The sequence below is a fragment of the Homo sapiens genome, chromosome 3 (genome assembly GCF_000001405.40).
Source record: "Homo sapiens chromosome 3, GRCh38.p14 Primary Assembly".
Classification (NCBI taxonomy): domain Eukaryota; kingdom Metazoa; phylum Chordata; class Mammalia; order Primates; family Hominidae; genus Homo; species Homo sapiens.
Window position 1 is genome coordinate 108,941,528 of NC_000003.12, and position 25,405 is coordinate 108,966,932.

General features: G+C 38.0%; 2 protein-coding genes across 14 annotated transcripts in view; both read right to left on the reverse strand.

The window, feature by feature from the left end:
* GUCA1C (guanylate cyclase activator 1C) overlaps positions 1-13,668 on the reverse strand; it is a 47,404-nt gene extending 33,736 nt beyond the window's left edge. Inside the window, exon 1 of one of the 3 annotated variants that reach the window (XM_011513334.3) lies at positions 13,615-13,668. Coding sequence is in view for 2 of the 3 variants with exons in the window: in NM_005459.4 (NP_005450.3) it covers positions 12,032-12,235 (204 nt within the window). In the remaining variant the exon portion in view is untranslated. Of the gene's footprint in view, positions 1-12,031; positions 12,353-13,614 lie in introns of those variants that run through there. The other 2 variants (NM_005459.4, NM_001363884.1) reach the window with 2 other exon arrangements.
* Positions 13,669-16,720: 3,052 nt separating this feature from the next.
* The window catches only part of MORC1 (MORC family CW-type zinc finger 1), a 159,887-nt gene continuing 151,202 nt past the window's right edge, over positions 16,721-25,405 (reverse strand). For 8 of the 11 annotated variants that reach the window (NM_014429.4, XM_005247362.3, XM_011512692.2 and 5 more), the window contains 2 exons: positions 21,887-22,081; positions 16,721-17,593 (listed from right to left, as the gene is read on the reverse strand). In NM_014429.4, the coding sequence (NP_055244.3) occupies positions 17,438-17,593; positions 21,887-22,081 (351 nt within the window). In that variant the 3' untranslated portion in view covers positions 16,721-17,437. Of the gene's footprint in view, positions 17,594-19,836; positions 20,070-21,886; positions 22,082-25,405 lie in introns of those variants that run through there. The other 3 variants (XM_047447968.1, XM_011512693.2, XM_017006169.3) reach the window with 2 other exon arrangements.

Here is a 25,405-nt window from a genome sequence, read left to right on the forward strand (position 1 = left end):
TCATTCCCCTGCCACCAAAAATCAGACTTCTATTAGTCCAGTTTTGCCCTTTGGAAATGGGCTCATCCCTGCCTTCCTGCATCTGACAAGTGAGTATTCTTAGAGGAGTTTTGGCCTAGTTTAAGGGTCAACAATGACACTCTATTTGGATAAAACCCAGATGCCTAGGTGTGGCCCTGAGGGCCATTTATTTACCTTCACACCTATTACAGCAACAAGAAGTTGGACCAGAAGCTGGAGGTATCATCAAAGGCTGACTTTCTGCTCTGAGACTCTCCAAGCATCTCAGTGCTCTGAGTGTCTCATTTCTCAGCTAGGATGTAAGTGTAGTCCTGACGACTGTTTGGTTACCCATATGGAGCAAAAGTTCTAGTTGAGACACCTAGAGTCTGTAGCCAGTTATGCTCTAGCTGTAACCCTCTGCCTCAACTAGACCCCCAAATGCCATCTCCCTCTTCCCTCCTGCTCTAATTAGAGCTGTTTTTTCCATTACAATTCTCAACTCCTTTGTTAAAGGTGGAATAACACACCAATTCAAGGGTGCAGTCAGCATTCTAATCCTGATGTGTAGTTTCTGGCAAGTTACTTAACTTCTCTGTGCCTCAGGTTCCTCATGTGTAAATGCGGATGAGAAAAATAGTATCTACTCTATAATATTGTTGTAAGGATTCTATGAAATAATAAACATAAAATGCATAAAAGGGTGACTGGCACAGAAGTGTTGAGTGTTAGCCTTTATGAGTAATAATCAAAGTTTTTCACTTCTTTCAAGATCCCCAAATGCCTCAACTTCTCCAGAAAGCCTTTCCTAACTAAGTCCATCGCTCAACCTCTGCTGCATCTTCTGATCCCAGCAAATGAACCTTGGATCACACAGTCAGTCCTGCTTATACTGTCTTGCTTTATTCATTGGTTATATAATCTCGATATAACTTTTTTCCTCACCTAGGTTATAAATTATTCGAGGGAACAGAAAATCATGTTTTCTACCTATTCACACACCCCTAGCCCCACACAACCCTAATATTTGAATGTAATTTTTCTATTCTTACCTGCCCTGCTGGGATGGGATTGAAGAATTCCCCTAGGGGACCCTTCACCATATTACCAGGTTTAAAAGCAGCCCTTAACACCATGGGTCCATTTGGAACCTTGGAACCACAGAGTTAGTACAATGTGAGGGAAACCTCTCTCAAGCTTTGATTCTTTATTTACTTCTTTTTATTTTCTGAGGATGTGCCTATCTTCCCCACTAGATTGTAAAGTCAATTTAGGACAGAGACTAATTATTATCCATCTTTGTGGCATCCTTCCCTCCTCCATGCCTCCAGGTGCTTAGTAAATATTTGCAAGTGCAGTGAGATAATAATACAGATGTTAACTATGTGAGTTTGCTCCTGGCAATCTCTCCTGTCATCCAGGTCTCCCCACATTCATAAAGACATTCATTGCCTAAGAGATAGGTCACTGTAGCAGAAAATGAAGCAGGAATCAAGAGTTCATTCTTAGCTCTCAAGTTTCAAAGGTTGAAGCCATTTAGGATTCAGAGCATAAAGTTTATGCCATAAACAAAAGATTTAGAAGAATGCATAATTAGAGAGAGTTTTTCTAGTTTCTCCACTCTACTCCTAAACTACATGAAGATTCCATAGGCTGGGAAGGTGTGGAATAAGGGAAGGAAGAGAGAGTTGCCAGGTATCGAGGGGGAGTGGGGGCGCTGATATGTGAGAGCCAAGAATGGTTGGATGACAGATAATAGAAACACCACGTTTGGCAATTGTAAGAGCAGAAGCACCCGTGATTCACCTCCTGGGTAGAGATACACCAAGTTCCCCTGCACCTAGCGTAGACTGGGAGAAAAGGCTGTAGGTGTATGTGGCCAGAGAAGCCTGACCCAGACTAAGAGGCCTTGGAGTATAAAGTAGCTGAGGGAGAATCTGACTTAGGAGGCATAGCTGTGAAGAAACAACAGCCCTCTGCATGAATCAGGAGATAAGGAGGGGGACTATCTCCACAAATACTGGTGTAGACAGATTCTCCCCCAACACCTTGAGGTTTGGATGCACATTTGGGGTTTACATGCAATCCTGGAGAGTGGCGGGAGAGCCCTCCTTCGTAAAGGAGGACTCAAAATATAAATTTAGTAGAAAACTACAGTAACATTTCTTGAATGCCTGAGTATGGAAGCTGAAATTCTTACCAGATACACAAATAAGAAATACATTTTAGTCTGTTATCCCTCACGCCCCCCTCACTTTTCCCCACAAGTCCCCAAAGTCCATTGTATGATTCTTAAGTCTTTGCGTCCTCATAGCTTAGCTCCCACATATTACTGAGAACATACGGTGTTTAGTTTTCCATTCCTGAGTTACTTCACTTAGAATAATAGTCTCCAATCTCATCCAGGTCACTCCACCTGTACCCCAATAACTTATAGAAAAAATTTTTAATTAAATAAATAAATATAATGATAAACCAAATTTAAAATAAGCATATAAAGTCTGTGGACAAAACAAGAAATCCAAATAAAAAATAAACATATAAAGAAAAGAAATATATTTTAAACTTCTTCTTGAGATAATTACTCCAATTAAGCACTAAGTTACAATGTGGAAGATATGGTGGCCTCCTTTAGAATATATATGGGGAAAAAAAGGAGGGAAAGAGAGGAATGGAAAGGAAAGAAGTGCATATGTAAAAGTGAGCCTACTTAAGTTGTTTCCTGCAGGGTAAACACACCTGATAGGAATAATTTCAAGGGAAACCTGAGGATGACCCTGTCTGGCAGATGCACCTGAATGTGTTCTGAGCTAGAGAATCTGGGAGTGGCCAACCCAGAGATTTGTTTCTTGTCTATGAGGAACATCTAAGCCCCTGTCCCGTCCTGTGGAACATGGGTCACAGGTGATTGAGGCCCTGAATTTTAGGTTAAATGAAGGTTGCCAGGTGGAGGTCAGTAAGGGGAGGGTCTTAACTGAAAACACTATAGCAACTGCATGCTGTTTGTAAGTGACTGCAGTTTTCCTGCCCAGCCCGCCACCACTGGGCCATGCAGTTATGTTGTGCAGCCCCTGCCACTGGGCTCTCTCTCATATATAAGCCCCTAATGCAACCCCGTGTCTCATTTGCTGGCTCTGGGCAGCTTGTTTGGCCTCTTGAACCTGGTGCCTTCCTTATGAAGGTTAATAGGGGTTCAGCACAACATCTATTATTTTATTTAATCACTCAGTAAATATGTTTGCTATCTCCTGTATGCCATCATGCTATAATAGGTGCCCGTTCTAGGGAAATGTGGGATTTGAGGGGGTCAATAATCCTCTTATTCTTCATATTTCTGTACTGTTGTTTCATGAGGATGAATTGATGCACCACTTGCACTTAAAAAGAGAAAGGAGACTTGGAGAGGAGTAAACGGAGGGTGAGAAAGAAGGCAGCATGCCTGAAGTGCAGAGCACAGGATGAGTGCAGGGCCAGGTGCTCCTTCATCCTCAGCCTCTGCATGGATGTCAGTACAGCAGAAGGAAGTTCCACTCTGTGCACTCCCTAGGAGCAGAGCCAGAGTGCAGGTGCATTCCCAGAACAGCAAGTACTTTCCCGAGAATTGGGTGTTTTGTATCAATCTCCAAGTGAAGCCTACGGATGCTTAGGTGAGAATAGTGCAGTCCCTGCCCACTTTCACTGCCTTTGAGGAACCAATGGCCAGCAACAAAAATCTACAGTTTCTGTTATATCTGTGCTGGCCCGCACCTGGCCCTCAAAGGCTCACTAGGCTGTCACCAGGTTTTGCGTTGGCAGTGGTAGTTGCTGTGGCTGGTCTTTGGAGCCCACCTAACTTCAAGTCCCATCATCTCACCTGGTTTAGGTGTAACACTGACCACAAGAGCCACATACTTTCATTTTGTACTCATCATGGAGACTTTATATTTTGACACGTTTGCGCCAGTCTAGGACATTGGCTTTGAAGTCGGTAGAATTTTAATAATGGAATGGACGATTCCCAGTTGTAGAAACTAAGGAACTTGTGTTGCCAAGTCTTTCCCAGAGACAGATCTTAATTTTGAGAGGAGCAGTTTCCATCACTGACCTCACCTAGTAAGATTTGCTGTCTTCTGTGCTATCTTTAAATTTTTAAAGCATCCTGTTTTTAAGCATGTACGTAGAACATGTACATATTTAAAAATAAATACAATTAAAAGGCCTATAATTAAAAACACTGAACTTGTGGGGTTTTTCCTAGTCTTAACGTTTGTAATTAAGATGCTTATTCTTATATCTTGATTTATTAATTTTAGACATTGGCTTCCTGTTATACTAAAAGAGAAGTATTTAATTTTATGACCCTCATATAACCCAATGATATGCTGGAGCGTATTTCATCTGCCAGTGTGAGCTGATTGTTAAATTGTATAAGCCAAGTATTAAACAGTCATTAGTTTCAAAATTGGCCACCGCGCGAGTATTTACTCTATGGAAATCAGCAAATGTCACCAGAGTTACCTGCCCTTGAACCCTCTGAGCTAATGAAGGATTCGCCAGCACACTATTGTTCTCCCACCAGATTCCCTTAACTGTAGTTAATCTAAAAGAGTTTCATTTTAATGATTGTGGTAATTTGTTTTTTGAAACAGGGTCTCTGTCACTCAGGCTAGAGTGCAATGGTGCAATCACTGCTCACTGCAGTCTCAACCGCTCCAGACTCAAGCGATCCTCCCACCTCAGCCTCCTAAGTATCTGAGACTATAGATGTGAGCCACTGTGCCCAGCTACTTTTTTTGTGCGTTTTTTTTAGAGACAAGGTTTTGCTATGTTGCCCATGCTGGTCTCGAACTCCTGCACTCAAGCCATCTGCTCGCTTTCTTGGCCTTTCAAGAGTGTTGGGATTACAGGCGTGAGCCACCATGCACAGCCTATGGTACATTTTGTTCTCTGCATAGCCGTGGCATACCAAAATTATTGACTTCCTTGTTATACATGGAGTTAGTAATTGCCTCATTGTAATCAGCCTGACACCACCTGAACCTAGCAGACAATTCACTAAAGTAAGACAACCAATAATTATGTGCCTGTAAAGTATTCTTGCCAAACAAATCTGAATCTATTTACGTTTCTATAGCTAAATACCGGTTTATAGGTAATATGAAGAATCAAAAGCAAGTTAGATGACACAAGAGGACAATCAGATACATTTACAATGCGGGATATTCTACAGAACCAATGACTCACTTTCCCTAATGAATCATTGGCATGAAAAAGGAAGAAGACGATTAGAGAACTATTACAGAAAAAAAAATGAAGACTTGAGAGTCATAACCACAACTGCAACATGAGCACCTTGTTTGGATCCTAGCTCAAATCAAGAATCTGAAAAAAAAAAAAAAAAAAAAGTATGCTTGAAACAATCGAAAATTGGTCCACAGACTGGGTATTAGATGATATTAGCAATTATTAGTTAATAATAATGTGTATTTCAAAATCACTAAAAGAGTAGATTTTAAATGTTCTCACCACAAAGAAATGATAAGTATGTGAGATGATGTATATTTTAATTAGCTTGAGTTAATCATTTCACAATGTATTAACTACTAACAGCCTGCTATTGCTTGGAAGCCTTACCAATAACAGAAACAGTTGATTAACACACTGTTTCTATGTTATGTATACTGTATAATGCATTCTAACAATAAAGTAAGCTAGAGAAAATAAAATGTTATGAAGAAAATAATACGGAAGAGAAAATATATTTACTATTCTTTAAGTAGAAGTGGATCATCATAAAGGTCTTCATCCTCATCAGGATATCCTCACGTTTGAGTAGGCTGAGGAGGAGGAGGAAGAGGAGGGGTTGGTTTTGCTGTCTCAGGGGTGGCAGAGAAGGAAGAAAATCTGTAAGTGGACCCTCACAGTTCAAACCTGTGTTGTTCAAGGGTCAACTGTGTATCATACCATAGCATTATACCCCATAAATATATACCATTATTTAAAGTTTGTCTATTTAAAGTTTGTCTATTTAAAGTTTAAGATGGAATTACTGTTATTTTTAGGTATGCTAATGGCATAGTACTTATGGTTTAAAAATGTCCTTATTGGTATAGATGAATAATAAATATTTTTAGGATAAAATTACATAATGTTGGAGTATTTTTTCTTTTAAAAAATCCAGAAAACATGTAGGAGGACAGATGAAACAAAAATGGCAAAATTTTTATAATTGCTGAAGCTGGGTGATGGGTCTATGAGAGCTATTCTACTTTTGTATGTGGAAAATTTTCATAATAAAAATGTTTAAGGTATTTCATTTTAAATTTTGGTAGTTTTCCTTGTACTTTGCCTTGTTACTTTCAGTCAAATATAGCATCAGATTTGTTAAATATTAAAAAATTAATATTGCTTTTGAAATCCTCAAACATAGTAGCTGATTCATCAATGTCATTTTTTAAGGTCTTCCTCCCAGGGTCCCCCTTCTTCCTTCTCAAACGGGATTAGCAGCTCACTGGGCTTTCTGCATATAGCTGTTGATCTGGACTTTCCTGTTCTATGATCCTCAGACTGCCCTCACCTGATTTCCTATGTTGGATTCCTCTTTCCCTGTTTGTTGATACATGTCCTCTGATATGGTTTGGCTCTGTGTCCCCACCCAAATCTCATGTTGAATTGTAATCTTCAATGTTGGGAGAGGGACCTGGTGGGAGGTGATTGGATCATGGGGGCGGTTCTCCCCTTGCTGTTCTCATGATAGTGAGTTCTCACGAGATCTGGTTGTTTAAAAGTGTGTAGCACTTTCCCCTTCGCCCTCTCTCTCCCGCCACCATGTAAAGACGTGCTTCACCCTTCTATCATGATTGTAAGTTTCCTGAGGCCTCCCCAGCCATGTCTCCTGTGCAGCCTGCAGAACTGTAAGCCAATTAAACCTCTTTTCTTTATAAATTACCCAGTCTCACGTAGTTCTTTATGGCAGTGTGAGAACAGACTAATAAACCCTCATTTTTGATGGAGCACCTACTCCAGAGCTTCCTAAAAAAAAGTAAGTGTGAAATAAATTTTCTAGTCTTTGCATGTCTTTATTCTCTCTTCATGTTTGATTTGGCTCGATAATTTCCTCTCAGAATTTTGGAAGGTTTTTTTCCACTTTTAGCTTCTGGTGTTGGTGTTAAGAAGCTCAATGCTATTTTGGTTTCTATTTCTGTTTTCTTTCCTTTCTTGAAAGACTTTAGGATTTTCTCTTTACCCTTCTTATAAAATTTCTCAGAATATGCTGTAGGTTGATGTCTTTCTGCATATTGTGCTGGGCCTTGTGAAACTTGTGTCTAACAGATCTGGGAATTTTTTTTTTTTTTTCCTGAGATGGAGTCTCACTCTGTCACCCAGGCTGGAGTACAAGGGCACGATCTCAACTCTCTGCAACTTCCGCCTCCCAGGTTCAAGCAATTCTCTTGTCTCAGCCTCCCGAGCAGCTGGGATTACAGGTGCCCACCACCACGCCCGGCTAATTTTTGTATTTTCAATAGAGATGGGATTTCATCATGCTGGCCAGGCCGGTCTCGAACTCCTGACCTCAAGTGATTTGCCTGCCTCGGCCTCCCAAAGTGCTGGGATTACAGGCATGAGCCACTGCAGTGGCCAATTTTTCTGATTTTTTTGTTATAATCTCCTATTTTCTCTGGCCCCTTTTTCTGTGAGTCTTATTAATAGGATAGTAGACCTATTCAGCTCAATTTAAGGAGTTTACTTGGAGAAATCCATGTGTGGAAGGAAACAGGGAGGGAGTCTGTAACAGTTGAGCCAGCTGTCAGACCATGGTGTCAATCTGATCCAGGTGAAGAAGAGAGGAAGGGAAGGTTGGGAGAAGTGTCCTAGGCACTCCTGCAACCGAAGGTCCAGCAAAGCTGCCAGGGAATCCCTGAGCCAAAGCCTGTAGACAGAGGACTCTCCTGTCTGTTAGGAATAACCCGGCCTTAGTATTTTTGCTGCACTCAATCACTGGTGGTAGTCTAAGCCCAGGCAGCATGGACTCAGGGCAAGCACAATTTGAATTCTAAAGTGAAGCATCTAGGGCATTGGTCAATTACATTCCCCAAAGGTCTGAGGTGCTAAGGCCATAGCCATTCCTATAAAATAGGTTCCATTACCATTGTGACGGTTGAATGTATTCATCTATTCAGTGCACCTAGAGCAGTGTCAGGCACATCATAACCACTCAAAAAGTGGGTTTTGTTTTCCAGCTTTATTAAGGAATAGTTGACAAATAAAAATTATATATATTTATGGTATACAATATGTTATTTTTATGTGTATTCAATGTGAGATGATTAAAAGAAGCTAATTTCTATATCCATCACCTTATCACATACTTACCTTTTTTTGTGGTGAGAACATCCAAGATTTTCTTTCTTAGAAATTTTCAAGTATGAAATATTTTATTAACCATAGTCACCATGCTATACAAGATGCCCAGAACTTATTCATCCTGCATAACTAAAACTTTGTACCCTTTGACAAACATCTCCCTATTACTCCTCTTCCCCATCACCCCCAGTCCTTGGCAAGAGCCATTCTACTCTCTGCTTCTATGAGCTTGACTTTCTTAGGCTCCACATATCAGTGAGGTTGATTATGCATTACTTGTCTTTCTGTGTCTGGCTTATTTCACCAAGCATGTCCCCCAGGTTCATCTATGTTGCTGGAAATGACAGGATTTCCCTGTTTTTTTAAGGCTGAATAGTATTCCATTGCATATACATGGCACAGTTTCTTAATCCATTCATTTGCTGATGGGTAATACTTGGGTTGATTCCATATCTTGCCTGTTGTGAATAGTGCTGCAATAAACATGGAGTGCAGATAACCTTTCAACATACTGTTTCCATTTCCTTTGGATATATACCCAGAAGTGAGATTTCTGGTTCATATGGTAGTTCTATTTTTAATTTTGTGAGGAACCTGCATACTGTTTTCCATAGTAGCTGTACTAGTTTATATTCCCACCAACAGTGTGTAAGGTCTCTCTTTTCCCCACATCCTTGACACTCAGAAAGTGTTATTGTTATTGAATGCCAAGGAGAAATCCACCATGCTGTGTGATTAGCAAAAAATATTATTATAAATTTTATGCTTTAAATCTCAGAATGTATTTACTTTTATTTTAAGCACTATCCTAATAGGCTTGCTTAGCTTGAATACAATCCAAAGCCAGGTTAGAAATGGCACATTAAAAAGAGATCAAAAGCTCATTAATATTATAACAATAAGAAAGCTGTGAAATGTGAGGTTGACAGCAGGAGAAAAGACAGAACAACAAGAAAAAGCAAACAGAATGATAAAAGCACAAATTTTCAGGGTTTTTAACATTAGGAAACAGCTCCAGAAACTTCAATGGGAATGGGTGTCTCATGATATTACACAGAATGTAACAACTGCTGTTCATAATAATGACCCTGATATATTAAGGAAGTGCTTTACCAGCACTTTGAGGAGGTAGAAAAGTATGAAATGCATTTTAAAATAATTTCCATCTATAGCACATAAAAGAAAAAGAAAAATATTGCATGATCTCATTTACATGTGGAATCTAAAAAAAAAATCAAATAGAGTGGTTACGAGGAGTGGGGTGGGAGAAGAGGAAATGGGGAGATGTAGGTCAGAGGATAAAAGTAGCAGATATGTAGGAGGAACAAGTCTGGAGATTCATCACACACCATGAGGACTACAGTAATAAAATTATACTTATACGCAACTCATGCTAAATGAGTAGATTTTACTGCTCTTGCCACAAAGACCAAAAAATGGGTAATTATGTGAGATGATGGATGTTAATTTGCTTCATTACAGTAACCCTTTTTCCTATCCATATGTATCTCATAACATCATGTTGCATACCTTAGACATACACAATAAAATTCATTTTAAAAATAAAATTTAAAAAATAAAGTCGAACTTATAAAAACACAAAGAAAAAAAGAAAACTGCAGAGAAGCTGCATAGAAATAGTAAATCTTTGGGGATTCTGGACAGTTGCTAGTTTTATCAATTCATCTAATTAAATATATGACTTTTCCTGTGCATAATTGCACATCATTTCTTAGTATCACTTGATAATGAACAATCCTTACCCTTGTCATTTTACCACCTGATTTTATATTGAGATCCCCACACCTTTTGTGGCATTTGTCATTACTGCTTAGGCTCACTTCCTTCCTAAGCAAACATAAAATCTCTTTGATGAATAGCAGCAGAACTTCCAAGCCATCTAAATTAAGCTCCTGGGATGGGTCGGGCCATTCCTGTGGTGGACACTGAGAGGGCTCTCACACCAAGGACACACACACACCTGTTTGGACATTGTCCCTGCTTCCTTGACAGTGGGCTTCATCTGACAGCAGATCCTTGCTTCCACCCAGGACTCCTTTCCACATGTTCCCACTCTTGCATGTGAACCACTGACATGTACAATGCGTTCACAAATACTGGGCTAGCAACCTAACGGCTGGCATGGGATATGACATCAACGCCTTTGGATAATAACTGTAAAACTCGATAGCTCATTTTCTAACCTCTCAGGAGTACTTAGAGCCTAAGAAGCTGCTGTCTAGAGCAACAGACTTTCATCCTGATATTGGGCTGCTTATAGCAGCCATACAAAGAGTGAAGCACAGAGAATGACAGAGAGAAAGAAAGAGAAAACTGAGATTGAGAGCTGAGAGAGACATACACAGGGAGAGGCAAATAAAGACAACGTGGCATCATGCTTATAGTATCTGGAACACACTTCCAGGATTAATAACAAAAGCGGAATCTGTCACATTTTCCCACTGATTTGTCAGCTCCTTGAAGATCGCCTTTTGCTTGCATTGACACTAAGTAAAATTGATGAGGAGGAAAGCACTGTCATGCTGAACAGGCAGTGCTTAACTCATATTTGGTAACAAAGCACAAAAGACCATACCATAATGTCCTAAAGAAATCTGTTCCTGACATTGCTACAAGGATTAAAACAGCTGTTAATTTTGCACAGGTTTAATCTTCCCAAGTTCCTGCCTGTTACCTCCTTTTAAGTCACCTGCTTCTTGGTTTAAAGTATTTTGCTAAATTCTACACATCCTATCAAACAACCAGTTTTTTTTTTAATTTTACTCAATTTACCTCCCCTTCTTTCTCTTCTATTATCAGTTGGATGGCCTTCTAAAGTCATTATTTTCTATTAGCATTTTCTCTGTTCCTTTTTATTCTAGTCAATATCTACACATTTTGAAATATACAAATCTACAGTAAAATAACCAAAATAAACAAGTAAAAGCAGGCAGAACCTGAGCCTGATATTTCAGGTTGTTGCTTTTTTGTCTCTCTTTTTTTTTTCAATTCCATATATTCTTTTCTCTTCTTTGTATTTTTTCAAGAAATGAAATTAAATGCACTACAGCTCCTCAGGAATGAGTAAATTCAAGATAAAAGTTGAGTAACAATCTTTAGAAACAAAAATTTGTCTGAATTTAAAACTGTTAAGCTTCCATTTTTCCCAAACTAAATTGGTAAACTATGGGGAAAAAAGTAATATGAAGCAGTTTAACTTTTGATTTGAGTACAGACAACATGTTGGCTAATTTGTATTGATTATATCTGCCAATCTAGATGCAATCACACTTTTAAAAGCAGAGTCCTGTAATTTGCTTTTCTATAAAATGTCACCAATGCATTAAATACTTCGAAAACAGTCTTTGTAAATCAATCTGTACTTATTAGATTTATTTAAATGATAGCATTAGAATTCCATGCCGAGATTTAATCTGGTTTTAAAATAACTCCCTACATGCAGAACACTTCCTAGGGTGGGAGAGGCTAGTTCCCAATTATTTTCATGCCGTCAGTACTAAAAGTATTTAATGACTCACTTACCTACAAGCTGTGAGTTGCCTGAAGACCTCTCCATTCAGTGGGATGTACACATTTTACTTAAGGCTATTTTACAGGAAAAAAAAAAAAAAGGGAAGAGTGCAGAACCACAGCATTTTCAAATGAAATGAAAAATGAAAGATCTTACCTTGTTCGTGTCAAAGGTATTATAAACTTGATCAATATGTTTATTGGCCTTCTGATTCAGACCTTGCAGACCCAAAAGTGTCTTAAATTCATGTAGTGTTTGCAGGCCGGATGGATATTCCATCATAAATGTTCTGTACCACACATGGGTCTCTTGTGTAGGAACTGCTTTCTGATCACCAGCTATAGATTTGCCATTCCCCATCTTGACTCACAGTCTACAGCTTTTCCTCAGGTTGTTTTCACTTAAGTTTTTGCTGGATTTAGTCCCTTACTCCTCACTAAAACTGAAGGCTAACATATGCCCTCAGAAAGCTACTCTAAACCTCTTACAGCAACAAGCTAAATAAGAATAGAAAGCCAGTGAGATTAACTTATCTGCCCAGTTTTAAAACCAAGGTCACTTGGCACTTGGTAACTAACATGCTTACAGTCATGCAGAGACATAGTTTTTTGTGAAGGGAACACGCAATATTTTAGAGAGGGTGATCCTTGTTATATTGTTAGCCATAAATTTTGCCTACATTATTGAGTGGTACAGTGGGTCTAATGGCAGGAACTTTGAGTTGCAATCAGGAAGCCTAGATTCTATGCTTTGTTCTACCACTTATTAACTATATTGAAACATTACTTACATTCTCGTGTTTCCTCATCTGTAAAACAGTAATAAAAGTTTCTGCCTTTTCATACCTGAGTATTGTGAAGATATATTTAGATAACATTTTACATGAAAAAATCATACATTGAGTATTATTAAAAAGAAGTCTATGTATAAGAGAGAAAAATAGGTAAAGAGAATTAAATAGTAGTAAGAAGAACTTCAGATGTAGTAGTCAGATAAAGGAACATATTGGGCTGTGTCTTCTGGCAGTGTTCTTCCTTTCTCTCCCCCACCCTCTGTTCTTACCTTTTTCTGGTCTCTCAAGTATCTACACATGCCACTGGCCTGCCAGCTTTATCTCACTCCAGTTTTCTAATCTGGCTAATCTTGTCCTAACCAAGCCCCATTTGCCAATGAACTTAAGAACAGGGTCAATGGACCTAAGAACTGTATCCAAGGTCCAGTAGTGGAAATGAATGCTTTGTGTGGTCCTCAACCCATTTTGGTACCAACCATACTTAGAACCAGAAAACCCCAGGTAGAATATAATTCTGTTACCCCTAAATTATAGTTCTCCTTTTTTTTTTTTTTTTTTTGAGATGGAGTCTCGCTCTGTCCCTCAGGCTGGAGTGCAGTGGCATGATCTCAGCTCACTGCAAGCTCCACCTCCTGGGTTCACGCCATTCTCCTGCCTCAGCCTCCAGAGTAGCTGGGACTACAGGCGCCCGCCACCACGCCCAGCTAATTTTTTGTATTTTTAGTAGACATGGGGTTTCACCGTGTTAGCCAGGATGGTCTCGATCTCCTGACCTCATGATCCGCCTCAGCCTCCCAAAGTGCTGGGATTACAGGCACAAGTCACCACACCTGGCCTACAGTTCTCTTTTCTAACCTCACTCAATTCTTTCTTTTATTTTCATTTTGGCCCAGCTCATATATCTGGTCTCTGTCTTTGTCCCTATTCCTTAGTCCTGACTGATTACCTGTTTATTATGAAACCCTTGATTCCTAAGAAGTAGCCATCATGGCCTAAATGAACTGCCTTGACCAGAAGTGGTGGTGGTTACAGTGAATATGGTTAATTTTGTTTCAAACATATCAATGTAGACTCTCAATGGGACATTTCGATGTCATAATTAGAGTTAAATAAAAGGGCTGGGCACAGTGGCTCATGCCTGAAATCTCAGCACTTTGGGAGGCCAAGGTGGGTGGATCCCTTGAGGTCAGGAGTTCGAGACCAGCTTGGGCAACTGGTGAAATCCCATTTCTACTAAAAATACAAAAATTAGCCGGGCATAGTGGTGCACGCCTGTAATCCCAGCTACTCGGGAGGCTGAGGCAAGAGAATCAGTTGAATCCTGGAGGCAGAGGTTGCAAGTGAACTGAGATTGTGCCACTGCACTCCAGCCTGGGCGACAGTGAGACTCTGTCTAAAAAAAAAAAAAAAAAAAAAAAAAAAAAAAAAAAAAAAAAGGTGAAAATAAGGTCATAGAATGTAAAACTCACCCATTTGAACCCATTTGAAAGAATTACTTGAAACCATTAAAGTGAATGATACTCTTTTTTGGACAGTAAAAAGGACAAAGGGGAGACAGTGAGGACTCAGCCTCGGGATTATTCAGCTAGGAATTAGAGAAATATCCTGCTAGAATTTTCAAAAAGCATTCTTTGGGGAAGTCCCCTTTAAGACTGTTTCTAAATGTCTGCCAGAGGATGCTCAGAGGTGCTGACTTTTTATCACCATTAACATTTATTAATCACTAATTTTTAAATTAAAGAAAAAATGGATACAGATGATGGCAGAGGAAGGTAGTAAAAGTTTTCAAGGAGGCAGGAAAATCCTTTGAGGAAGGAAAACTTTGGATGGATCAAGAATATAAGGACCTGAGATCCAGAAACTGTTTCTTCATATAAATTCTACTTTAAAGAAAATTGGCCAAGCGCAGTGGCTCACACCTGTAATCCCAGCACTTTGGGAGGCCGAGGTGGGCGGATCACCTGAGGTCAGGAGTTTGAGAGCAGCCTGACCAACATGGTGAAACCCAGTCTCTACTAAAAATGCACAATTAGCCAGGCATGGTGGCACGGCACCTGTAATCCCAGCTACTCGGGAGGCTGAGACAGGAGAATCGCTTGAACCCGGGAGACGGAGGTTGCTGTGAGCGGAGATCGTGCCATTGTACTCCAGCCTGGGCAACAGGAGTGAAACTCCGTCTCAAAAAAAAAAAAAAAAAAAAGAGAAAAGAAACAAAAAGAAAACCTGCATAATGATCATTTGCTGATGCAGAAAAAAACTTTAAAATTATTTGTAAAATGAGAATTCTTATATTGAATACAATATTGTATTAAAAAATCAGGAGTCTTGCTGTATAGAACATTAGCCAGTCATAAGATCATGGGAAAAAGCCTTCATTCATGATAGGCTAAAAAATAAATCTAACTGCAATAAATATAACTAGGAATGTGCAAGATGTATTTGAAGAAAATTTTAAAATGGTACTGTAGGGTTCCAATGAAGACTTGAGGATATGCAAAGGCGTATCTTGGTCTTGGGTAGAAAGACTTACTATTAAAAACCATATCAGTTCTCTCTATATTAATCTGTATTATCACCACAAACCCCCATCTAAAAAAAAAATAGAATTTGAGGGATATTGGTGGCTACAAAATGTAATTCTGAGAATCAAGCACAAAAAATACACAAAAAATTTTGAAAAATAAAATTATTAAATAGCCCTACCAAAAACACCATGAATCTGGCATGAGAAAAGATGAAGCACTCAATGAAAAATAAATAGATTCTTTTTTAACTAGACTCAATTACAAATAAGAATTTAATATGCAATAAAGGTGGTATGGTAAGAGAGTAGGAAAGAACTGATTATCAATTAATAATTCTGGGACAAAGCTATGGCTATGTGGAAATGCACATACACACATACATAAACACAAAGGATTTCTAACTTACTTCTTACACCAAAATAAATTTTAGATGAATCATAGGTTTAACAATATAAATCACTATAAGAAAACAAAGCAAAATTGTTTTATAATTTTAGAATAGGAGAGTCCTCTCTAAATATGACCATAGAAGCCATAAACAAAAGGAAATTAAATCGTAATCTTTAAAAAAATCCCAGATGACTCAAAACACCATAAAAACAAAAATAAAAAGTTTGTTAGAAAATATCTGTAATATATATCATATAAAAAAGATAATATCCCTAATGCGAAGATAGTTCTTACAAATCAATAAGAAAAATACCCACCACCAAGTAGAAAAATTGACAAAGTCCAATTTAAAAATCTGAATGACTTCTAAACATATGAAAAGATGCTCAATCACACTCAAAGTATAAGAAATGTATGTTCAAACTACAAGGATATACCACTTTTCACCTGTTTGATCAGCAAGATAAGAAAGTCTGGTAATCCACCAGGTAGGTGAAGGTGTGAGGAAAAAAACTCATACACTGCTGTAGGAGTGTAGACTAAAAAAATTTTTTCAAAGTGCTATTAGGCAATATCTATTCATAATAAATGTATATACCCTTTGATCCAGCAATTTGTTTGCTGAGACATTTGACAGACATAATTGTACATGTGTGAAATGAACAAATTTATAAGGATATTCAAATGTTGTGCATATGTAAATCCAAAAGAACAATAAAAACCTAAACATGCATTGATAAGGAAATGGTTAAACAGATTTAGTATTTCCATTGAATAAAATAATAAGGAGCAGTTGAAGATAACGAGAGGTTATCTCATTAGCTCTCTATACATATGTATTATTACATGTACTGGTCTCAATATGGAATGATCTTGAAGGTATATTGAGTGGAAAAAAGCAACAGCAGCATCTTTTGGATGCTATTACATCCATATCTATAGCTATATCATGATATATATGGTTTTACAGATATTGATTGGGGACAGATTTACGAGGAACTGGTAAAAACATGCCTCTTGAGAAGAGTACCTAAGTGGCTAAAGACAAAAATGAAATAGTTTACCATATTCCATTTCCCATGTTCCAGGCTTTTGCTATGTGCATATACATAAATTAAAATTATACAGTTTCACAAATGAATATTAAATGTTTTACTGTTTTTGTCTAAAGTTTCAGACATTTCTAAACAAAAAAAAAACACTTATCAAGAAAAGTGTAAAAACATACTTCTTTACGTATATGTAAATGTAAAACAACAATTTTTACATATGTGTAATATGTATACATATTATGCTTAGGAGATTTATTCTTTTACTATGACTAAATAATAAAATTATATAAGCTATGTCTCAAAGTTTTGGGGGGATTTGTATTTTCTGCTTGACTGAGTGTTGGCTATAGTGGAGAAAGGGCATAATGTCTTTCTTTTTCAATATCTTCAAGAGGAGGTGATTCTGTAGTCCTTCACATATCGATTTTGAAAAAATCTGCTTTTAAATGTTTTTAAGGAATAACAAAATTACAATAACAATCTTTTAAGGAATAACAAAAGTTAAGCTTGAGTGACATTTTCATTTTTTTCAGTAGCTCACATGAAAATTAGAGAACTCTAGATATTATTAATATTTCTGAAAGAAAAGGAAGATTTAGATAATTGGATTAGGGAATACATAAATTGTAAATCGGTCTCCATTTCTAGAGTACACAATTTTCTTATTTGAAAAAAATTATTTCTTATTTCTTATTGTTAAACAGAATAGACTTTACAGTAACAACAACAAAAAAGAAAAATTTTTAAAAGAATCTTCCAATTTTCTTATTAGCATTTTTTAAAAGGTAATACCATCTCTGACTTAATTTTCCGAAGTCTTTTCATTTTTTTCTAAAGGGAGTCTATGTCTTGCATCTATAGTTACTTTATTTAAATTGTTCTGGAAGAGAAGATTATCTTCTTTAAGCAAAGCTTCTAAATAAGTGTCAGTCTGCTCCAGGTCACCTTCTGGACCACCCTGGAAAAGAGAAGCAACAGTCACACCAGGGAAAGAAGCTGCAGAGCTTATTCCTGTAATTTGGGCAGCCTCCTAACAGTCTTCCCTATGACTCATGCTGCAACAAAAGCCACCTTACATTTGAATCATGCTTTTAACCTTTCAAAAGGTTTTCTCATTTAATGTCATTTTATGCTAACAAGCGGTTAGAAACTTGGTTCATTTTTTTTATTCTGTAGTGGAAGTTAGTACAACTTTTTTTCTCTTTTTAAAAAATTACTTGCTATATTCCTAAAGCCTCCTCAGTCTAATCTCATCCTTCTTTGTTATAGACTGTAATCTCCTATTTTTAAAATTAATGAATCTTTAGCCTTGTAGGCAAAAACAGACAAGTAGCCAAATTTTGTCTTCTTTGTTTCCTCTATTTCCATTGCAGCGTCTTTTCCCTCAGCTCTTGGCTTACTACCCTGGTCTGTCTCCTGTTTATCCTCCCCTTCTCTCTTTTACTCAGCTCCCTACTGAGGCGATTTCATGCTCTCCTTTCCTGGACTTCTTGATCCATGGAACAGTTAGACGTATGAGTTGGGTCTTCAAAAAGTTCATGGAAAATGCATATTATGAAAAAACTACGTAGGCATGGATTTCAAAAATTTTGAACAAAAATCAACTCACACTAAGTTGTTATGACATATTTGACCAGGATCTAGTCTGAAGCACTAAAAGGATAAGATATCAGTTTGAAAGCAGCCCCTATCAGAGCAACATGAATTCTGCTGCAATTGAAGCAAGAACATACATCAAATTTATGGTGAGGCTTGGGTGGAAGAATGGTAAAATCATTCATGCTTCATGAAAAGTTTATGGGGACAATGTCCCCAATGGAGAGCCTATAACAGAGAAGGATGAGATTAGACTGAGGGGGCTATAGGACTATGGCAAGTAATTTTTTAAAAAGAGAGAAATCAGCAGTTAACAAATAACAGATAACTTAAGAACAGATGAGATGATGTTGAAGAGGAAGCTAGCAATGTCAGACTGTCCACATCCCTTTGCAAGGAAAAAGTTAATCTTGTTCATGCTCTAACTGGAGAGGATGGATGATGCTTAATAGCAGAAACAATCGCCAACACCACAGACATCTCAAGTGGTTCAGTTAACACAATTCTGACTGAAAAATTAAACTTGAGCAAACTTTCCACTCAATGGGTGCCAAAACCATTGTGCCTAGATCAGCTGCAGACAAGAGCAAAGCTTTCAATGGAGATTTTAGACAAATGGGATCACGATCCTGAAGGATTTCTTCAAAAAACTGTAACAGGAGATGAAACATGGCTTTGCAAGTATGATCTTGAAGACAAAGCAATGGCTACCTAGAGGTGGAAGTGGTCCAGTCAAAGCAACAGTGGTCGGTCAAGAGCAAAGGTCATGACAACAATTTTTTGGGATACTCAGGGCATTTTGCTTGTTGACTTTTTTGAGGGCCAAAGAACAATAACATCAGCTTATTATAATGGTGTTTTGAGAAAGTTAGCCAAAGCTTTCACAGAAAAATGCCTGGGAAAGCTTCATCAGACAGTCCTCTTCCACCAAGACAATGTTCCTGCTTATTCCTCTCATCAGACAAGGGCAATTTTGTGACAGTTTTGACAGGAAATCATTAGGCATACACCTTATAGTCCTGATCTGACTCCTTCTGACTTCTTTTTAAAAATCTTTAAAAAAAAATCTGTAAAGGGCATCCATTTTTCTTTAATAATGTAAAAAAGACTGCATTGACATGGTTAAATTCCAAGGACTCTTAGATCTTTAGAGATGGACTAAAAGGCTGCTGCCATTGCTTACATAAGTGTCTTGACCTTGATGGAGATTATGTTGAGAAATAAAGTTTACATTTTGACTTTTAACTTTTAATCCCGTTTTTCCATAAACTGAGGTCTCCTTGAATGTTCCCTCTTGGCTGACTGATCTAAATCTCATTCCCTTGGGCCCAACTATGGGATCAACTAACTCTCCAACTGAACGAACAGATAAGAGGATTTTTAGGAAGGGCCTTTCAGAAACAATCCTAGCACTAAGTGTCTAGCACCATTAACCTCGCCTCTGCATCTTTTCTCTGGTTCCATAAAATATGCTTCAACTTTACTCCCTCTACCACAGATTTGCTCTAACAAGGCTGAATTTTACTGAGTTCCAGCTTGGTGACTGGGACACTGTTCCTACAGATGGATTACAATGATGTTGATATTTACCTTGACTTCCAAATATTCGCTGACCCTGAAGAATGCCCTGTGACCCTGACACAAAGCACTTCTCGTCCTGTTAGATATAATCTCATCTTTTGGCTATTATCCTCTGCCTGGTGGAATAAACTTCTTCCAGGATGCTACATTATTTCCACACTCGGCTTCTTCATGTGCCTGCCCCATCTCTATCTGCTCTGGGTCCCTCATCTCGATTCTCTGCTGTACTCTACGGCAGTGGCTCTGGCAACCAGAAACTGTGAAATAGAAATTTCATGTGGGGCGATGAGAGTAATACATTTGGGCAGGAGCCCTTTGAGTACCTCTCCACTGAGATTAGGCAAAAGAGTTTCATACTCTGCTGGCTGAAGCCCTTAACTTGCCTACCAAACTTTGTGAATACAGCAAATTAAATTAGTATGGTTACTCTGGCTGCTGCTTAAGAACCTAGAGGTTTGGCAGAGAAGGAGTAGTAAACGATTATTCTTTCAGTTTTTCTTAGCCTAACGTGGATTTGCTATTATGAAAGCCAATTATTTTATAAACTTGTTTAATAGTCAGGAAGTGGTATTCAATTTCTAGGATACATAATTTCTTTGGTCTTTCTAGTTTACTTGTTAGTGAAACAATAATCGTCACTGAAACACTACCATGTGCTAGGCTCCATACCAGACTTTTAACACATGAAAACATTTGGCATTCTTCACAGCCACAAGAACCAAAAGGAGCTCTACTGAAATCCTACTCTCATAGCAATAAATAAACTAGACAAATTGGCTGAAGTGGTATGGTTGATAGAAGCGCAAATACAATTACCTTTATATAAAAATTAGCATTAAACATCTTTCTAAATTTTAATAACATAACATTTTAACTGTTGCCTAGACCATCAAAGGGGAGAGGGACATCTCTTTTGGCAATATACTTAAATTAAGCAAATAAAAAAAAAAAAAGCTTTTCTGCATTTTGTTTTGTACTTAATACAAGATAAATTTCAGATAAATTAAAAATTTTTTTGAAGTGGGAAGGGACTCCCACGTTTAAATGTTCACAACCAGGAATGAAACCCAGGCAGCCTGGCTTCAAGGTCCATGTTCTTCACACATTATACAGATATATGTATGGCGAGTTTCTTGTCTCTCCCTAGCCTTTTCAAGGGCAAGGCAATCCTCTAGCCAATCCTCCATAAGGGTCTCAGTTCTTGTCCCCTCACCTTGCATGGCCCAGGAAGGCTCTGTCTCCTGTTCCAGCACTCAGGGCCTATATTTGAGGACAAAATGCCACAGGCTCCCTAGGCTCACTGTTCTGGCTTGGATTTCTCAATTTATTTCTAGAATCCACAGGAAGACTTTCAATCCTGACTACATATATTTTCAGTTTTGTTGTATTTTATGCAACATTTCCATGTGCTATAGAAGATGGGCTCTTCCTCATCAGTTCAACCTATCACATAACTCAATTCTTTATGCATTGAAACGTACAAACAAAACTGACAGTAATCCATACTTACATGATGTTTCCTGACTTCTCCAAAACTGTCCTCTAAGATTAAGAGGATTTTTATTTATGCATTAAAATAAAAGTAAAGTAAAATATTTCGCTGTCTGAAAAAACTGAAAAAATTACCTACTGGTCACATGTTATTAAGGGGACACCAAGGATGATCATGCTATACCAACAGCACAAGCAAAGATTCTGAACTAAGATACAAAAGAATGTGTGCCTGTAGTTCCAGCTACTCGGAAGGCTGAGGCAGGAGGAATCACCTGAACCCAGGAGGCGGAGGTTGCAGTGAGCCAAGGTCGCGCCACTGCACTCCAGCCTGGCAACACAGCAAGACTCCATCTCAAAAAAAAAAAAAAAAAGATACGAAAGAACACAGAGTTTCTAAATGTTCTAATATATGCCTTCACAGTTCATTTATTTATGATTTCAAAATCCTTATGCAGAGAGTAAGGGCTGACTTAAGTGACTTGTCCAGGTCAGTAAGTGAATGACAATGTTAGGAGAAGTTAGCTGAGTTCTCGTTCCATAGAGTCTACTCCTACTGCTCAAATACAACTTTTTCACTCACCAGTTGGAGTTTCTGCAACAATAGTGCCAGTTTTATACGAAGATTCTTCAGCTTATCCTCAGAGATTTTTCTTTTATTTTCACATTGCCCCAGAGAGATTTCATTATGTATTCCTCTTGTATTTGAATCATAGATAATGGACTGCAATTTCCTCTTTATTTTTTTTTCATATTGGACCATGTAAGTATTCTGTATCTGGGAATGTTTTAAAAACAGTTTTAGCATGTTTTTAAAATATTACTTTCCCTCTAATATCACTAGACAATTTCATATTCCAACTCTGCCTACATGTACCAAGTGTCAACTTCGTAGGTGGTCTAAATTTAGGAAATATTGATACCCTTAAGGAACTTACATACACTCTGATAGAAGACTAAGAGAGAAGAGAAAAATGTATAATATTTCAATAATTGTAATTATAAGGAGGAAAGAGACACATGACAGTGAGCTTGGAGACCTTTGGTCTGGAATGAAGAAGAAACCTCGTAAAGGTTGAATCTGTTCTCCCAATGGCGATCACCAGATTATTTAAGGCACAAAGTGAGCAGGTGCCTGTGACTCTCTCCACAGCACCAGTAATTCACAGGCAATGACAGAATGGCCCACCACTTGGGGCTGTCTGGCAGATGATGTAGTGTTACTTGTAAGGCAAGGCTGTAGCATCTAGAAAGCACAGAAACTACAGAAAGAGGAATTCCTGTTCTCACTCTCTTCGGGTTCCTTATCGTGATACAAAAAGTACAGATAGTTATGTATATGACCCTCATTAATAGAAGAATCTTGGTTGTTCTCCAAAATTTCATGCTGTGCCTGAGGCACTCATGAAGCAGAAAGAGGTAATGGAGAGGCCAAATGCTTCAGTTTCAGAATGACATTAATTGCTTGTATAAACATTTCTAGAAGGCCAAGAGATATTCTGAGAAAAGAGATACACGGCAAATCCCATTTTGATAAGCATTTTGATGTTTATGTAATAAGGAGATTTCTGCATTCTAACATGACTGGGTTGCCAAGAAAGTTGTAAGGTAGCCTCATTTGTCTTTTGGGCCTACCCTTCCCTTTTCAGACCCTCCACTACGTTGACTATGTGCAGACCCTTCTCTGACATCCACATCATCTCCTTTAGCATTCGCTGACCTCACGAGTTTCCCCTTTTTCTACAAAATCCTTTAAACAAGCAAACAAAAATCCCTACATATAGGAAATTCTGTTTAATAAATATTCACTAACTAGTTCCTAACTCGAAAGCACTGCATTTAATTATAGATGACGTGGAGATATATAGGGTACAGTCTTTGCCCTCAAGAACTCTCTAGTTCACAGCATGAGATAATACAAATGTGCACATAAATCTTATGGAACATAAGGACCTTGTGCCCCCAAGAAAGGCACTAAATAGCAGGGATTCAGGACAGCAGATAATGCAGCACTCACAGCAAGGGAATTTCAAACACATGGGTAAATCCTGCCTTGAAATCCACGCCACATTTCAAGATCCTGGAAGGGAATCCACTTTTGAACATCTTTAATTCAACCTAACAAGTTGATGACTTACAACTAAGGTAACCACCACCTCCACCAGGAAGCTTCATAGATGCTTCCTATAGAGGCTGCAGGCAAACCCAGGGAGAGATATCTACTGCCTGAAGGTGGAGTAGAAGGAATAACTTAACTCAGCTGGAATAAGGAGGACAGTGTTACATACAGTTCACCTGTCACTAGCCACTTAATTACAGTTTTCAGAACTCCAGAATTTTATAGCTTTTGCCATGCTGAATAACAGTCAGAAAACACTTTTTTCATAAAAATAAAAGCCACAATAAAATAAACCAAAACAAATCAAAGATAAATATCAAAAATGGCAAACATTATGGAAACATTATTTGAAAAAACAATAGTATTGCTAATCAGCCATCAAAAGGAACCTGCTATTGACACACTTAAATGGACCCGAAGTGACGCTGAATAAATAAAGCAATTGTCAAATGACACACACATATGATTCCATTTCTACAGCATTCCTGAAAAGACAAAGCAATAGAGATGGAGAACATATTAGTGGATGCCAGGAGTTAGAGGTAATTGTGGAAGGCCTGAGTGGATATGACTATAAAAAGGTAGCATAAGGGAGATAATTATGGTAATGAGAATTCTGCATCCTGATTTCAGTAATGAGAATTCTGCATCCTGATTTCGGTAATGGTTATACAAACTTCCATGTATGATAAAATGACATACAACTATACACACACATTTTACCAAATTCAATTTCCTGGTTTTGATATTGTACCATAATTATGCATAATTATGCACTGGGGAAACCGGGTGATGAGTACACAGGACCTCTCTGTACTATTTTTGCAACTTCCTATGAATCTATAATTATTTTGAAATTGAAAGAAAGAAGCAAAAACAAAAAGCCTCGACACTATTAATACGAGATGAGACCAAGAATGTTTATATAGTACACTACAAAGTCATATTCAGTCTCTGAAAGTTTACCTTTTAGTAACCAGTAAACTACGTTTTTATCAAATTCTACAGGCCAGCCTTTTGGTTTATTCTCTTGCCTTTCTCTCCAGGAGGTTCTGCTAACCTCTCCAGGAAGTTTCTATGAAAGGTAACACTTTTGACAACTTTTCAAGCTCAGTGTAAAAGGACATCTAGTTGTACTAGCTTTTTTGTGTGTTAACATTTTAATTAAGGTGAGAAAATAATTGTAACAAGATGAGAGGCTTAGTTCTGCTGGTTAAACCCACTCTTGTAGAAGTATCTGCAGATCAAAAACCAAAGTCTTTCCGAACTACATTAATTCAGAATGGAATTAGGATTTGAAAGAAAGGATATTTAACTGAGATTTTAATTTTCTACCTTGAATTCAAAGAGTAGGAGCTCTAGCAGTTTTGCAGCTCCAAAATCCTAATGAGTTTGTGCAAAGTAAGGAAGGCCTACAACATCTATAGATTTTGTACCATACAAACAGGAATATTCATTTAAGTGTTTATGTTGGCAGTCACTAAAGCAGAAACAATCAACTTTGATTCAACACGTAACTATTAAGATCCAGATGCATTCAAAGGCACTGGTTGAATGCTGCTAGAATACAGAGTTTGATGACAGGATTATTAACTTCAAGGATTCTATCATCTAACTGAGGAGAAAGTGAAATATAATAAACTATTATAAGATAGAAATGTTAACTAATGCTAAAACAAAGTTTTAAGGTTCTCCCAGAACACAGAGAGGTCAAGATTAATTTCACATGGAAAAACTGAGAGTCTTCATATAAAACATAATATTGACCAAGCTCAATGGGGAAGGATTTCAAGAGGCCCACTGTGTATTGGGAGAGTCGATAGGAGTATTTTGGGGAATATCAGGAGGGGAAAGGCTCAGAGGTAGACCAGTGTAAGTAAGTTGGAATAACTCTGGGGCACTCATTTTAGATGGAACAGAGGCCTGTGAGGAAAGAATAAAAGATAATGGTTTGAGTCAGGTGATGCAGGACCACCAATGCTA